Source organism: Homo sapiens, chromosome 16 (genome assembly GCF_000001405.40).
Source record: "Homo sapiens chromosome 16, GRCh38.p14 Primary Assembly".
Taxonomy (NCBI): Eukaryota; Metazoa; Chordata; class Mammalia; order Primates; family Hominidae; genus Homo; species Homo sapiens.
The window spans coordinates 88,088,829-88,101,293 of record NC_000016.10 but is presented as its reverse complement, the minus strand read 5'-3'; the positions used below and the strand labels follow the sequence as shown (position 1 = coordinate 88,101,293).

The following is a 12,465-nucleotide window of genomic DNA, read 5'->3' as shown; positions in this document are numbered from 1 at the left end:
CTATCATCAACTGGAAAGCAAAATGCTTTGTTTTGCCTGAAAGATGTTCCCGGATGGCACGTTCCCCTGCGTGCACCCCCTCGGTTGCGAGCCTGAAGGCATCGCGATCGTCACCATCGTCAATCCGGATGGCCCAATCGCATCGAATCCAGCCTGCGTGAAAACACTTCACTTCTGACCTCCTTAACACCAGAGCCACCCCAGACGCCACACACTGCACTTACCCTGGAGCGAGCAGGCGTGTCTGCCGGCGCCCATCCCCTGTGGTGTGTGGCTGCAGAGGGACAGCTGCCCCGTGCCCCGGCTCCACGCCCCAGGTGTCCGCAGCAGCAGCAGCGCGTTGGGGCTGCGTCTCTGCGCACTGGCTGGCTCTGGGCTGGGAAGTTTCAAGTTCCAGGCGGTCTGCATTCCCTTCTCCCCCTTCACACACTTAACCCTACCTTGTCTGGTCAAGAGAGATCCAGACAAAATCAACCTTCTGCGTCAACAGCCGCGTCCGGCTGCCTCAGAGGCACAGAGTCTGTTCCTGGCTTCACCTGGCTTTCGCCATAAACTGGAACGAGCGGCCAAGACCCTGGATGCTGCTGCGGCTTTGCAAGGGTGAGCGGGTGTTTTCTAACCCACTGGGCTTTTTTCCTCCTAGGCAGCAGAGGGGTGCACCTGCTCCAAGGAATTCGGGATGTCAAGCCCTCCGGTCTCTGCGGGGGTCACCCTTAGTGGGGGTTCCCCTGGAGATTTTAACACTCAGACCCCACTCCAGGCTCAGCAAGGGGCACTGGTTGGGGGGGAATTCCAGCCCACTCCTCAATTCCCTGTGGGGACCCTTAGCCAGCCTTGGTGCTTTCAGAGCCCTGGTTTCCTCGTTCGTAGGAGATAAACAGCACCCAAAACTGAGCTGCTGCCACTGAGGCAGGCTACTGCCAGGTGGAGTGCAGGTGCATCAGTGATTCTGCCTGCCTTCCCCTGAGCCCCGAGTCGCCGTTCCATCCACTTAAGGCGTCCTGGGCTCTTATGAGCTTCCAGGGAAGCCGAGTCACAGGAATTTAATCATGGCCAAAATTTAGCCCACAAATAGCTACTGAGAGGCTTCATGCCAGATGGGGAGATGTGAGGGTGGGCGCAGGAGGAGGCGTGGGCCCAGGAGGAGCCATCGGCACATGCCCTGAGGGCGGCAACATGCCATGCCTTCTCGGTTAGGTCTGGACGGCAGATTCGCAGCACCTTTTCCCACTTTCTACTTTCCTGTATTTTTGCAGTTTGCTACAATGAGCATACATTGCCTTTATAATCAGAAAACAGACATTTAAAAACTGTTTCAGAAGCCCGTCCTGACCGCCCCCTCATTTTCCCCAGACCCCCCTTCCATTGCTTCCACACACACTGCTGTTTTCACGCTCGCCTTCTGACGGGCACCTCCCACAGCCCGAGCACTCCAGCAGCCCCCTTTGCTACCCTGAAGCAGGTGCAGCCACTGAGGCAATGGGAGGGAGATGTGCCCGTCCTTACGGGGCCTCTGGACTGCGTTCCCCGCGCCTACACAAAAACTGGCTCTCGCTTCCAGGAAGCTTCTAGAAAGGGCCCCAGCGCTGTGGTCGGAACACAGAGACCCAGGCTGCCAGTTGGTGCACCCTCGGCCACCCCTAAGTGAGGGGTCTGACCTCGAGAACATGTGGGTGGGGCAGGGTCCACCCGGGCGACGCCCTCCCCCCTCGAAGCCCCAGGCTGCCGGGACACCATCCCATTCTTTTGGGGGCTTTGTACAGGTCGTCAACCCCAGAAGGGCAGGAACGGCACCCGGCTGGGAGTCTGCAAGTGTGTGTGGAGTGTGACATTCATCTCACATGCACAGAGCACACAGGGAGTAAACAATTCTCATCCTCTGGTACTTCTCTTCCTGTTTTTTAAATTGAGGTGAAACTCACTGCACATCAAATTAATGTTTTAAAGTATGACACTGTAGGTGGCATGAGGCGCATGCTGTACTATGCCCTCTGTTTACTTCCAAAGCGTTTTCATCATCCCCAAAGGCCACCCAATGACTGCCCATCCCCTCCAGCCCCGGACAACCACCCAGGGCCCCCGTCTCCGCAGACCCACCTGCTCTGCCATGTCACAGGGATGCAGCTGGCCATGTGTGGTCCTCCCATCTGGCTCCTTCTGCTTCCATGACGTTCTCCAGGCTGGCCCACACCGCAGCATGGGTGAGGCCCTCATTCCTCTATGGCTGAGTCGTACTCCTCGGTGGGGAGAGACCACATGTTGGGTAAGCAGGCATCAGTCCACCCAAGGACATCTGGGTTGAGTCCACCTTTTGGCCACTGGGGGAACTCTAGAGATAGAAGTGCCATTTTCACCCCGACCCGCGGTGCGCCCCCTGAAGTTTGAGCTGGAACCACCCACCTCTCAACGTGTCCAGACGGCCCTATTCCTCCAGCATTTCCGAGAACGCGCCTGGCGCACATCGTCACCTGGTCTCGACCCCATGGAGGGACCCTGGGGTTGCTTCTAATCATTGTTCAACGTCTACCCTCTCTGTGCATGGCTCAGGAAGAAGGTGGGGTGGGGAAGAGAGATCTCTGGGTGATCACGTTGTCTCGGGGCTCAGGACGCTGCTCCCAGTGTTGGTCGACATTGGTAGATTCCAATTTCTAGAGCCTCTGGCGGCTCAGATGAAATATCGAAAGTTGGCACAAAAGCAGCTGTCCTCGGGCAGGGCCCCATCACCCTCAGGAAAGCCAGGGCATCTAGCGGGGAGCTGGGCAGCTCCATCGCCCTCAGGAAAGCTGGGGGTTCTTTGGGCAGCAGGGAGCTGGGCAGCTCCATCACCCTCAGGAAAGCCGGAGGGTCTAGGCAGTGGAGAGCTGGGCGGGTCCATCACCCTCAGGGAAGCCAGGATGTCTTTGGGCAGCAGGGAGAGTCCCCTGTCATCCTTTGGACATCCTGTGGACATCTGTCATTTGTGCAGAAGTATCTACATAAGATAGAAGCAACGTTTCCTGGAAGTTTCTTACAAACTTACACCAAGGACAGAGGGTCCTAGAGGAATTGAGGGGCTTGCTGTCCACTTTAAGTGGAGGGAATTCTTTTTCATTCCTTTATTGTCACTAAAGGTTGGATTTCAGAGCAAGCACTCAAGCGCATGGAGAAAGATGAGGGAGGGAAGATGGGAGGAGAGTGAGGAAATGTGGGCATCCGGTTCCCTGGCTGTGCTCTCAGGGGACCCCGGAGGACCACCTGCTTAACAGGCAGATGCCTCTGTGTGTCACCATCAAAGTGAGGACATGGCTGAGCCCAGTTAACACTCAGGGCGCCCATGCACAGCTGGGCCTGTGCAGTCTCTTGGTGACAGCAGTGACCACATGGCGTCCTCCTGTAGGGACCACGTGGCTGGCTTTTATTCTTTCTATCCTTGGGCAGAAAGAGGAGGCAGAAGTGATGAGTCCTGCCCTTCTACCTTCGAGTAGGTCAGAAATGTTTTCATAAGATAAAAGTTACAACTGAAAGAAACAGCAGGTCTGGGCATAAAAATCCTGCGTTTTCAGCCTCGAGTGTGTGTGGGAGAGTGGGAGCTCAGGGTGTCTCTCCTGGGGGCCATGAAGCAGGAACAAAGGGCTGTGGGGCTGATGCCGGACCCACTTTACATCCGTGTGCTGGGGCTGCTGCAGCAAAGTGCCACAAACCGGGGGGTCCATGTGACAGAAATTCACCCTCTCCCTCGCTGGAGGCTGAGTCTGAGAGCCAGTTGTTCCAGGGCTGTGCACCCTCTGAGGGCCCTGGGGAGGCCTCTTCCCACCTTCTCCAGCTCCCAGCAGCTCCCGGGGTGGGGTGGGGTGGGCAGCTGCATGTTCAGAGCTCCCAGGTGTCTCCAGGGCTCAGCCAAGGCTGACACCCTGGTTTGGCTCTAGGACTCTGATTAGGCATTTTGGACAAAGCATTTCCTCCACGGGGCAGACACGGAGCACACCCCTGGGTAACGGCATGTCCAACTTTTTAGAAGAGTCACCAGTCAAACACTGGCCACCCAAGTGAGAATCAGTGAGATTGCAAAGTGGTTGTCATTAGTGAGGTTGTCAGATGGCCTGGCATGTTTAAGTAACCAAAAGCAAGTCCTTCTCATACCTTGCATGTTGGAGGGGACACGCCAGTGCTGGTTAGAATTAAAACCCAAAGCAGGTCATTGATTCTGATAGGAGTGCCCTGACTCCAGGATCATTAAGAAGGGTTTCAGGGAGGAAAAACAGATGATATTGTCTGTCCCTGGTCCAAATCCATGGTGCATCCCCACTTCCATAGGAATTCTGTGCAGGTCTTTTATATGCTGCTATATTTTATATCTGTTGCTGTGTTGCTACACACCCAAAACTTAATGGCTTAAAGAGCATAAATCACTTTTTATCCCTCACAGACTGTTAGCCAGGAAAGTGGGAAGTGCTCAGCAGGGCGGTTTTCCTTAGGGTCTCTCATGTGGTCTTATGTCAGCTTGGGGTGCATCACCTGAAGGCTAGACTGGGGCTGGTGGCTCCCTCACGAGGTGGGTGGGCTGGTGCTGGCTATTGGCTGAGGGCCCCAGTTACTCTCCAGGGCCTGCCTGATGTCCTCACAGCATGGTGGCCAGCTTCTTCTAGAGTGAGTGAGCCAACAGGCCAAGTGGAGGCTGCAATGCCGTTATAATCCAGCCTCAAGGGGAAGTCACATGTTGCCCACCACCGTACTCTATGCTGACCACACAGACCAGCCCTGCTGTGTGGGAGGGGAGCACACACAGACAAATACAGGAGTTGGGGGGGTCACTGGAGCCATCTGGGAGGCTTGCCACCATCACCTGTCCTGTTCCCTAAATGACCTGCATCCCTGGGTTTCCTATTCTCAGCATTGTGTGCCACCTTGAGGGGCCGGGAATGAGAAAAAGTGTTTTCAGACAGAAAGCATCTCTTTTATATTTAGCAGCCCTTCCTTTAGTTTATCTCTTCCCTCTCTTATTTTATTTAAAAGTAGCAAGAGGCCAGGTGTAGTGGCTTATGCCTGTAATCCCAACACTTTGGGAGGCTAAGGCAGGTGGATTGCTTGAACCTAGAAGTTTGAGACCAGCCTGGGCAACATGGCAAAACCCCATCTCTATTTTATAATATTACTATTTAAAATAAATAAATAAATAAAATAAAGTACAAGATATGCCACCCTCAGTGCCCTCCTTACAAAGCTTGCTAGCTTGATCATTCAGCTCATTGGGCCACTTTCCACATTACTGCAGGCCATGATCTTGCTGATAGAATAAGAGTCCCTATTTCTGGAGGGGTTTGATTAAACATTCTTGCCTGAAAGTCTCCTGAAGCTGTAGTCTTGCATCAGCTGGAGTTGCAGTCTCATTTGAAGGCCTGACTGGGGCTGGCCTTCCCAGGTCACTCCTAGGTCACTCCATCACACACTGGCCAGTGGTGCTGCTGGCCAGAACTCAGTTCTCTCCAAATGGACCCTGCCATGAGGCCACTTGAATATCACAGCATGGGGGCTGGCTCCCCTCGGAGTGGATGGCCTGAGAGACCAAGACAGAAGCTATGTTGCCTTGTACAGCTCAGTCATGGAAGTTACACACTGTCAGCTCTGCCATGTTCCACGGGCCACACACATCAGCCCTGAGTCAATGTAGGAAGATGATAAACCCCAGGAGGCGTGGGTCAGTGGGTTCATCTTGGAGGCCACAGAGCTGTCTCAGCATTGTCCCAGAGGGGGATTCGGTGACAGGGCCAAAGGGATTCCAATGATTCAACCCAAGAATGACCAGTTTAGACAGGACTGATCAGGCTAAGATGACGAAATGCCAGCTGACATGAAAACATGGGACAGGCCCTGGGCAGAGTCCCTGGATTGAAGTCTCCACCCCAGCACTTCCCACCTGGGGTTTGGGCTTCATCCACTGGCAAGGCAGAGATGATAGTGAAACCCAGCCTTCTCCCACCCATGTGCTGGATGATCAAAGGAGCAAACAGAAAAAAAAAAAAAATGAAAGTGCCAAAGAGTCACACTATTATCATTTATTTTTGTTATTAGAATGATAAATCCCTTTAGAAATAAACAGCTTTCTTGGATATAATTAATATACTATACATTTCACCTATGTGAAGTGCACAATTCACTAGTCTTTATTCAGAGTTGTGTGACCATCATCATTATAGAATAAGGTCTTATTGATGCTTGAGAGATGATGATGATGATGATGATGATGATGATGATGATGATGATGGAGACAGAGTCTGCTCTGTCCACCAGGCTGGAGTGCAATGTTGCTATCGTAGCTTACTGCAGTGTCCACTTCCTGGGCTCAAGTGATCCTCCTGCCTTAGCTTTCCGAGGACTCCAGGCGTGAGCCACCACACACAGCTGAATTTTTTTTTTTTTTTTTTTTTTTTTTTAGTAGAGGTGAGGTTTTGCTACGTGGCCCGGGCTGGACTCGAACTTCTGACCTCAAGCGATCCTCCTGCCTTGGCCTCCCAAAGTGCTGGTGGGATTATTTTTAGACCACATTGAAAAGTTCCAGTTGATGTTACAGGAAGCGAGCCAGGGAACACTTGACCCCCAGGCTCTAGGAACCATCAAGATCAAGCTAGAAAAGGGCATCGGCAAGAAGGGGTGTCTGGAGGCGTCAGGGCTGCGCTGTCTGTGCGGAGAGAATTCCGCCGTGTGGAGCAGCTATGCTCCCTTAGGGGTGGCTGGCTATGAGGGCTACGGCCTGTCCTCGAGGGTCCCACCTCTTCCCCAGCTCCCAAGATTCAGGGGGTGGGACTTCCCCTGGAACCCTGGAAAGCAGGGAGCACCGACCGCCCTGGATGCCAGGAAGGAGGGAGTGTTGCTGCCTGTGGACCCTGAGAAGGAAGGAGCATTGCTGCCTGTGGACGCCGGCAAGGAAAAAGCACCAGCCGCCCGTGGACCCTGAGAAGGAGGGAGCATTGCCGCCCGTGGACGCGGGGAAGGAGGCAGCATTGCCGCCCGTGGACCCTGGGAAGGAGGGAGCATTGCGGCCCGTGGTCCCTGGCTGCGTGCCCTCCCCTCGTCTCCTCCACCCAAGAGCAAAGTCGAAGCTCTTTTTCCAAAGCTCTGTCTCCCCCACCTCCTCCAGCTTCCCTCTAAGAGTTCCTGTTGGTGTCCTCCACCCCCAGTCCACAGTCCAGGAGCCAAGAATTCATGGCAGACCCCGAGCCACAGCTCGCCAAATCATTCGCTCATTGTTAGACATCTGGGGTTTTCAACTTTCTGTTTTCATAAAGGACACGGTAAGTGCCCCTGGGCAGCGGCTCCTCTGGAGCTCCAGTCCGAGAACCTCGGGGGTGAAATTCTGTTCTCAGCTCCGCCCCTGCCCAGGCCGCTGTACCATCCCATGAGAGGCTGGAGTTGGAAGCCCCTTGACGTCCCGGCCTCCATGGGCATGAGCATCCCGAGCACCCAGACCTCGGCTTCTCAGTACCGTGTTCCATTCAAAGTGGCCAGGACTCCTGGGAGAATTGGCCAGCTCCAGCCTGGGCAGGGAAAACACCAGAGGCTTGTAGGAGATCGCGACCCTCCAGGGCTACGAGGCCGTGCCCGAGCACTCAGGAGCCTGCTTGATGGGGAGGGTTGTGGGGGGATGGTGGGAGCTGACAGTGCCAGGAGATGGCCTGGGGCACAAGCGGCCCCACAGCTCAGGCTCAGACAAGCAGCTGGAAGCCTGGTGCGCGTGGATGTCCCCATGGCTTTAAAGGACGCCCCACAGAACACGGATTAATCATAATAGAGAGAAAGGACAGCGTTGCAGGGGAGGCTGCAGACACGGCATCAATTAAACCGTCAGCGTTCACGTCACCAGAGACCGCCCAGGGTGAGATTTTACACCCGCCGCCAGGACACCTGCAGAAGCGCAGCCTCGCCCCCTGCTGTCCCCGCCCACCCAGGATCTCATCACCAGGAATCCAGAGGCAAAGCAGTCCGAGTGCCCACAGCACGGAGGGGCCAGGAGCCTGCACAGGCTGACAGAGATGGAGGAGAGACGGCGGCTTGGGGAAGGGCGTGACACCATCAGACTCCGCTCTCAGAACCTCGTGGGGACAGTGGTCAGGCTGCAGTGGGGCCTTGCAGGGACCTGTCCACTCCCTGATTCTGACGATGCTGAGGGCTTGTGAATGTCCTTGTGTGCAGGAAACACACCAAAGAGCCTGGCTGTGTGGACCACGGTGCAGCGCAGCTGCGCACACTGCGTTTCCTGTACCATACTCGGCACTCCGGCCTTGCCTGCGCACTGCCTGAGTCTGCATTATCTCTGTGTGTAACTAGGCCCCACCCCGGGATCCGGGGAGGCTGATCCCCCACGGGCCTCTCCCAACCTGAGCGGCGCCCTCCTGGCCACTGTCCACTGCTGCCTGAGGCCCTGCCCCAGCAGAAGGCACAGGCTGGGGCAGGCCTGCAAGAATGGCCAGGAGGGGCCTCCCAGGGTCGAGGCATCTGAGCAGCACCCTGCAGGACGGGCAGGCCCCTCATGCCCCGGGCACCGGCACAGGGCCTGCGATCTCATGCATTCGAATGGTGCCGAATGGGCCAGGGTGTCCTGGGGGATCCTGTCGGGCGCCCTCCTCAGCTCTTCCACCTTCCACAGTAAGTACTTCGATAGTACGGCTCATGGTCACCCCAAGTCCCCGAGAAGGAAAGAGAGTGACGCCATGGAGATGGGAGGTCGGCCCTGCAAAGGGCACCATAGTCCTGGGCACTACCTCTCCTGGGGAATGGGGGCTTGGGCACCTTCTTCTCCTCCTTCCTCCCTCCCTCCCTCCTTCCTCTCTCCCTTCTTTCTCCCTCCCTCCCTCTTCCCTCTGATTTACACCCCCTAATTGCCAGTATCGCCCCCTCCCCAGTTGCAACAACCCCAAACATTCACATATTGATTTGTGTTTCCTGCTTGGGGGCAGAATCACTCCTGTTCCAGCACCGCTGGGCCCCCACATTCCCCCACGGGCAGGGACCCACCTCACTCCCCCCACACCCATGAGCCCACAAGGCTCTGGCCCCCACCCCCATGGCTGCTTGGTGAAATGACAGCCCCGCTCTGCTGGGAGCCGGGGAAGAGGAAGGAGCTGGGGCAGGGAGTCCAGCTTGGGAGCCCTGTGAGCCCCTCTAGGAGCCTGGCCCTGGCTGGAGAGAGCAGCACTGGGTTGAAACCCACTTAATTCATGGCGGCACAGGATTGCCATCTGTGCTAAACTCCAGCAAAAAGCAGACGCAGGCTTTCCTTCCTGGCTCCGCAGCCCGGGGCCGGAATCAGCTACGCCCACTGCACCGAGATCAGCTTTGAAAAGTCCCCATTGCAGACGTGCGGCAAAGGCTGGGGGAAGCTGGAAGCTTTGCTAAGGCCGCTCTGCTGTGATCAGCCTGGCCTGGGGCGCCCTGAGGGATTCCTGAGCTGCCTCCTGCACCCCTCCCCGTCCTCCAGGATGAGGCCCTCACTCAGGCACGCCTGGCGCCTGGAGGCGTAGGGCCTGGGACTCCACGGAGAAGCCGTGCCCTGCGCCCACTCGGCCTGGATGGGAGCCCGGGCCCTGTGTGGTCACACCCGGAGGTCCTCGCCGGCAGCGGCGGGGGCAGACTCTGTGGGGGCACCCCCTCCTCTAGCAGGGCTGGCCCAGTGGGGTGGGAGGATGTGGTGCAGTGCGTGACCTCTGGAGAAGCTTGGCCGGAGCAGCCCTGGGGGGCAGCCAACTGCTGGGCAGGGGCTCCGGTGGCCCATTTCCCATGACAGGCGGCCTGGCCGGGAGGCAAGCATAGTTCCCACCACCTGGTCCCAGCTCCCCAGCTCCGGGCATTCAGATGGGCTCGTGGCCACCAGGCCGTTGGGTCCAAGGCGAGTTCCGGGCATTCAGATGGGCTCATGGCCACCAGGCTGTTGGGTCCAAGGCGCCCTGTTGCTTATTCCAAGGGTTGGCAGCCAGCAGGGTCTGAGGCCACCAAATAGAAAACGTGTCCCAACTCAGACCCCCTGGCCATGGGCAGGCGGCCTCGGCTCACTCCTCTCCTCTGGGTCCTTCACCCGCAGTGAGGACTCGGCGCCCAGCACCTTCCTGTGCAAGAAGTCAGGGAGTTCAAGACGAGATCAAGGCTGATCCAGGCCTTGCGCGGCTCCTGCTCACAGGATCCTGGGGACCGTTTCAAGAAGAGCCTCAGGACACGGAGAATGCTCAGTCTCTCTCCTGGCTGTCCCCGCCAGGCAAGAGGGCCCGGGGGTGGAGGGAATCCAGGGGACACGGTCCTCACCCCACTGTCAGCGCCGGCAGACCCCAACACTCATCCCCCAGCCCCAGGCACACAACCCGCCCTGCCGCCCCTCGCCAGGCCCTGCCGGGTGTCCACCCTCTGAGGTGGCAGGTGGGGGAGGAGACATGCTGGGGAGGGGCCCAGGCCTGGGCGGCGCGGCCCTTCCTTTCACTCCCCTGCCAGGCAGTGCCTGCGCCCACCCTCACCCCCACCACCCCCCCCGACCCCCCGCGGGCTGGGAGGAAATGTAATGAGTGCAGGGCGGTGTCTTTGGTGCTGCTGGGGTGGAGTCAAGGGCCAGATCCCATTGTGAATTTGACAGAAAAGGAAACGGGCTCCGAGCGCAGGTGAGGCTCAGCCAGGGCTCCGCGGCTCTCACCCAAGAGCTGAGCTCCAACCTTCCTGGCCCGGCTCCGTTTCCCGAGCTGTGGAAAATGCCTGTCCACCCGGCATGGCTGGGTAGTGCCTGCCTCCCCCACGCCAGCCACGGGCCGGCTCCCCAGTCCTCTGTGGGAGGGTTGCTGGTCTCTGTTAAAAGCCCCCCGGGTGACGTGCATGCCGCCAGGGCCTGTGCCCCCGGGAGACACTCTGGGGAGGGGCCACCACAAGGAAACCTCAGTCCAAGCTGTCCAGCGGAGGCTGGGCATGGCTGTGCCAGCACAGGAAGGCAGGTAGGGGTCTCCGGGGCAGGCAGCTCTCCCTCTGGCCCAGCCCCCTGTGTGAAGTGCTCAGCCTGGGTAGGAACGTGCTTCCCACTCAGCCTCCTCCAAGCCGCTGGAGGTCCCGCTGGTTCCCCAAATGGCTTCTGTCCTGAGCCGTGGGCTCCTGACCACGCACCTACCTTGCACGGTCTGAACAAGAGTCTGTGCCAGGGACCCCGCTCAGGAGGGGCACAGAGGAAGCCAAGGGCCCACACAGGTGAGGGGGTCTCAGGTCTGGGCCTCACCCAGCCCAGGCTCAGCAGCAGCCTCAGAATTTCCTGGCATCTGCTTGCCTGTGTTGCAACCCAAGTGGGGTGTGCATGCCGCCTGAGAGAGAAGACACTCGGGGAGGATTATGTAAGCGCTTTCCTCCCCAGCACAGGGCCGTCTTGGGCACATTGCGACCAGACCATGTGCAAAAGCACTCGGGAGAGTGGCAGGAGCTGACCCACCAGAGAGGGATTAACCCCTTCCGGGATGCTGGCGGCTTGTCCTGGGGAACGTGGGGCTGGTCAGGATTGCAGGACACGGAGGGGCGGAGTGTGAATGTGGAGGCACCGGTGCTGCGTGATTTTCCACAAGTTGTCTAACCTCTCTGTGCCTTCGTTGCCTGACTCGGCTGTTTCCAATGCAGCTGATTTTAACAGCACCTGTTTCATGAGGCCACAGCCAGGATTCTGGGAGGCAAAGCACAGAAAGCCCTCAATGCGGTTTGAGGCTCCAGGCAAGGCTCAGCTGACAGTAGCTGAAAACAGCAATTTCAGCCGCAGAGTTGCCCGTCCTGTGCACCACAGAACGAACAAGGGTTTCCAGCTTTGCTCAGATTTGTGGGGACCACTGGGTTTGGACTTTAGGAAAAGCTCATTTGCCTTTGGGCAGAAGTGACCGGAGCTGGGGTCACCTGAGGTCTGGGCAGGAACCTCTCGCTGGCTGACGCAGGACCTGGGGAGGGGCCATCTGTGTGGGGCAGCTCTGGACTCAGACCCGTGGATACCTGTGAAACCTGTCAGGCTGAGCCACCGTCCAGCAAGTGAAGAGACCCCAACTGGGCCACTGTGGAGTCACTTGGCCACCACCCCCGGGTTCTCACAGCCCTCATGTGTGTCCCAACCGCGAGCAGGCGGCCGACAGTGCACCCTGACAAGGCACGCGTGTACCATCGGGGACACCTGCTACTTTAAAGTGACCGGATGGTGCCCAGGACCACAAGAACCAGCCTCGTGGCAGGGTGCCCAGCCTCCTTCCCCCTCCACTGTTAACTTTTTTGCCAAGATTCCAAAAACGAAGCTGCAGCTGAAAATAATTTCTTTTTCTTCTATAGCCCAAATGACCGATGGTGTAGAGATTTTCCCATCATAGAACTGCAGTCTCCATTTCTAGTAGGCCCAGGAGGTGACATGTCTGAGGTTGGGGTGCCTTGGGGCCAGTGCCCAGAGGAGAACCCACATTGGCGTCCTAGTAATGTGAACCCTCATAAGAGCTTCAGGACAGCAGA

At 57.6% G+C, this 12,465-nt stretch overlaps 2 protein-coding genes and 1 long non-coding RNA gene across 3 annotated transcripts in view, besides 2 other annotated features; 2 read left to right on the top strand and 1 right to left on the bottom strand.

Moving 5' to 3' along the window:
* The window catches only part of ZNF469 (zinc finger protein 469), a 339,823-nt gene extending 339,460 nt beyond the window's left edge, over positions 1 to 363 (bottom strand). Inside the window, exon 1 of the mRNA XM_047434810.1 lies at positions 225 to 363. The gene's annotated coding sequence lies outside the window, so the exon portion shown is untranslated. The remainder of the gene's footprint in view (positions 1 to 224) is intronic.
* On the top strand, positions 309 to 1,885 carry LOC400553 (uncharacterized). Its single transcript, NR_120310.1, has 2 exons — positions 309 to 600; positions 1,764 to 1,885. It is a non-coding gene; the product is annotated as an uncharacterized LOC400553 (long non-coding RNA).
* Positions 7,900 to 8,527: an enhancer, noted in NCBI's record as "H3K4me1 hESC enhancer chr16:88126373-88127000 (GRCh37/hg19 assembly coordinates)". NCBI's record gives its function as "activates a minimal SCP1, AML or CMV promoter by ChIP-STARR-seq in naive H9 embryonic stem cells {active_cell/tissue: H9 hESC(naive)}" and the evidence as "EXISTENCE:reporter gene assay evidence [ECO:0000049][PMID:30033119]".
* Positions 10,414 to 11,041: an enhancer, noted in NCBI's record as "H3K4me1 hESC enhancer chr16:88123859-88124486 (GRCh37/hg19 assembly coordinates)". NCBI's record gives its function as "activates a minimal SCP1, AML or CMV promoter by ChIP-STARR-seq in naive H9 embryonic stem cells {active_cell/tissue: H9 hESC(naive)}" and the evidence as "EXISTENCE:reporter gene assay evidence [ECO:0000049][PMID:30033119]".
* Positions 10,689 to 11,643, top strand: LOC124903754 (uncharacterized). The gene has a single exon (XM_047435027.1). The coding sequence runs from the start codon at positions 10,704 to 10,706 to the stop codon at positions 11,415 to 11,417; it is 714 nt and encodes a 237-aa protein (XP_047290983.1). The 5' UTR covers positions 10,689 to 10,703; the 3' UTR covers positions 11,418 to 11,643.
* The last annotated feature ends 822 nt before the right edge of the window (positions 11,644 to 12,465 follow it).

What these genes read in the sequence shown, in the direction of transcription:
- LOC124903754 (XM_047435027.1), top strand. Translation starts at nt 10,704, where the DNA reads ATGCCTGTCCACCCGGCATGGCTGGGTAGTGCCTGCCTCCCCCACGCC.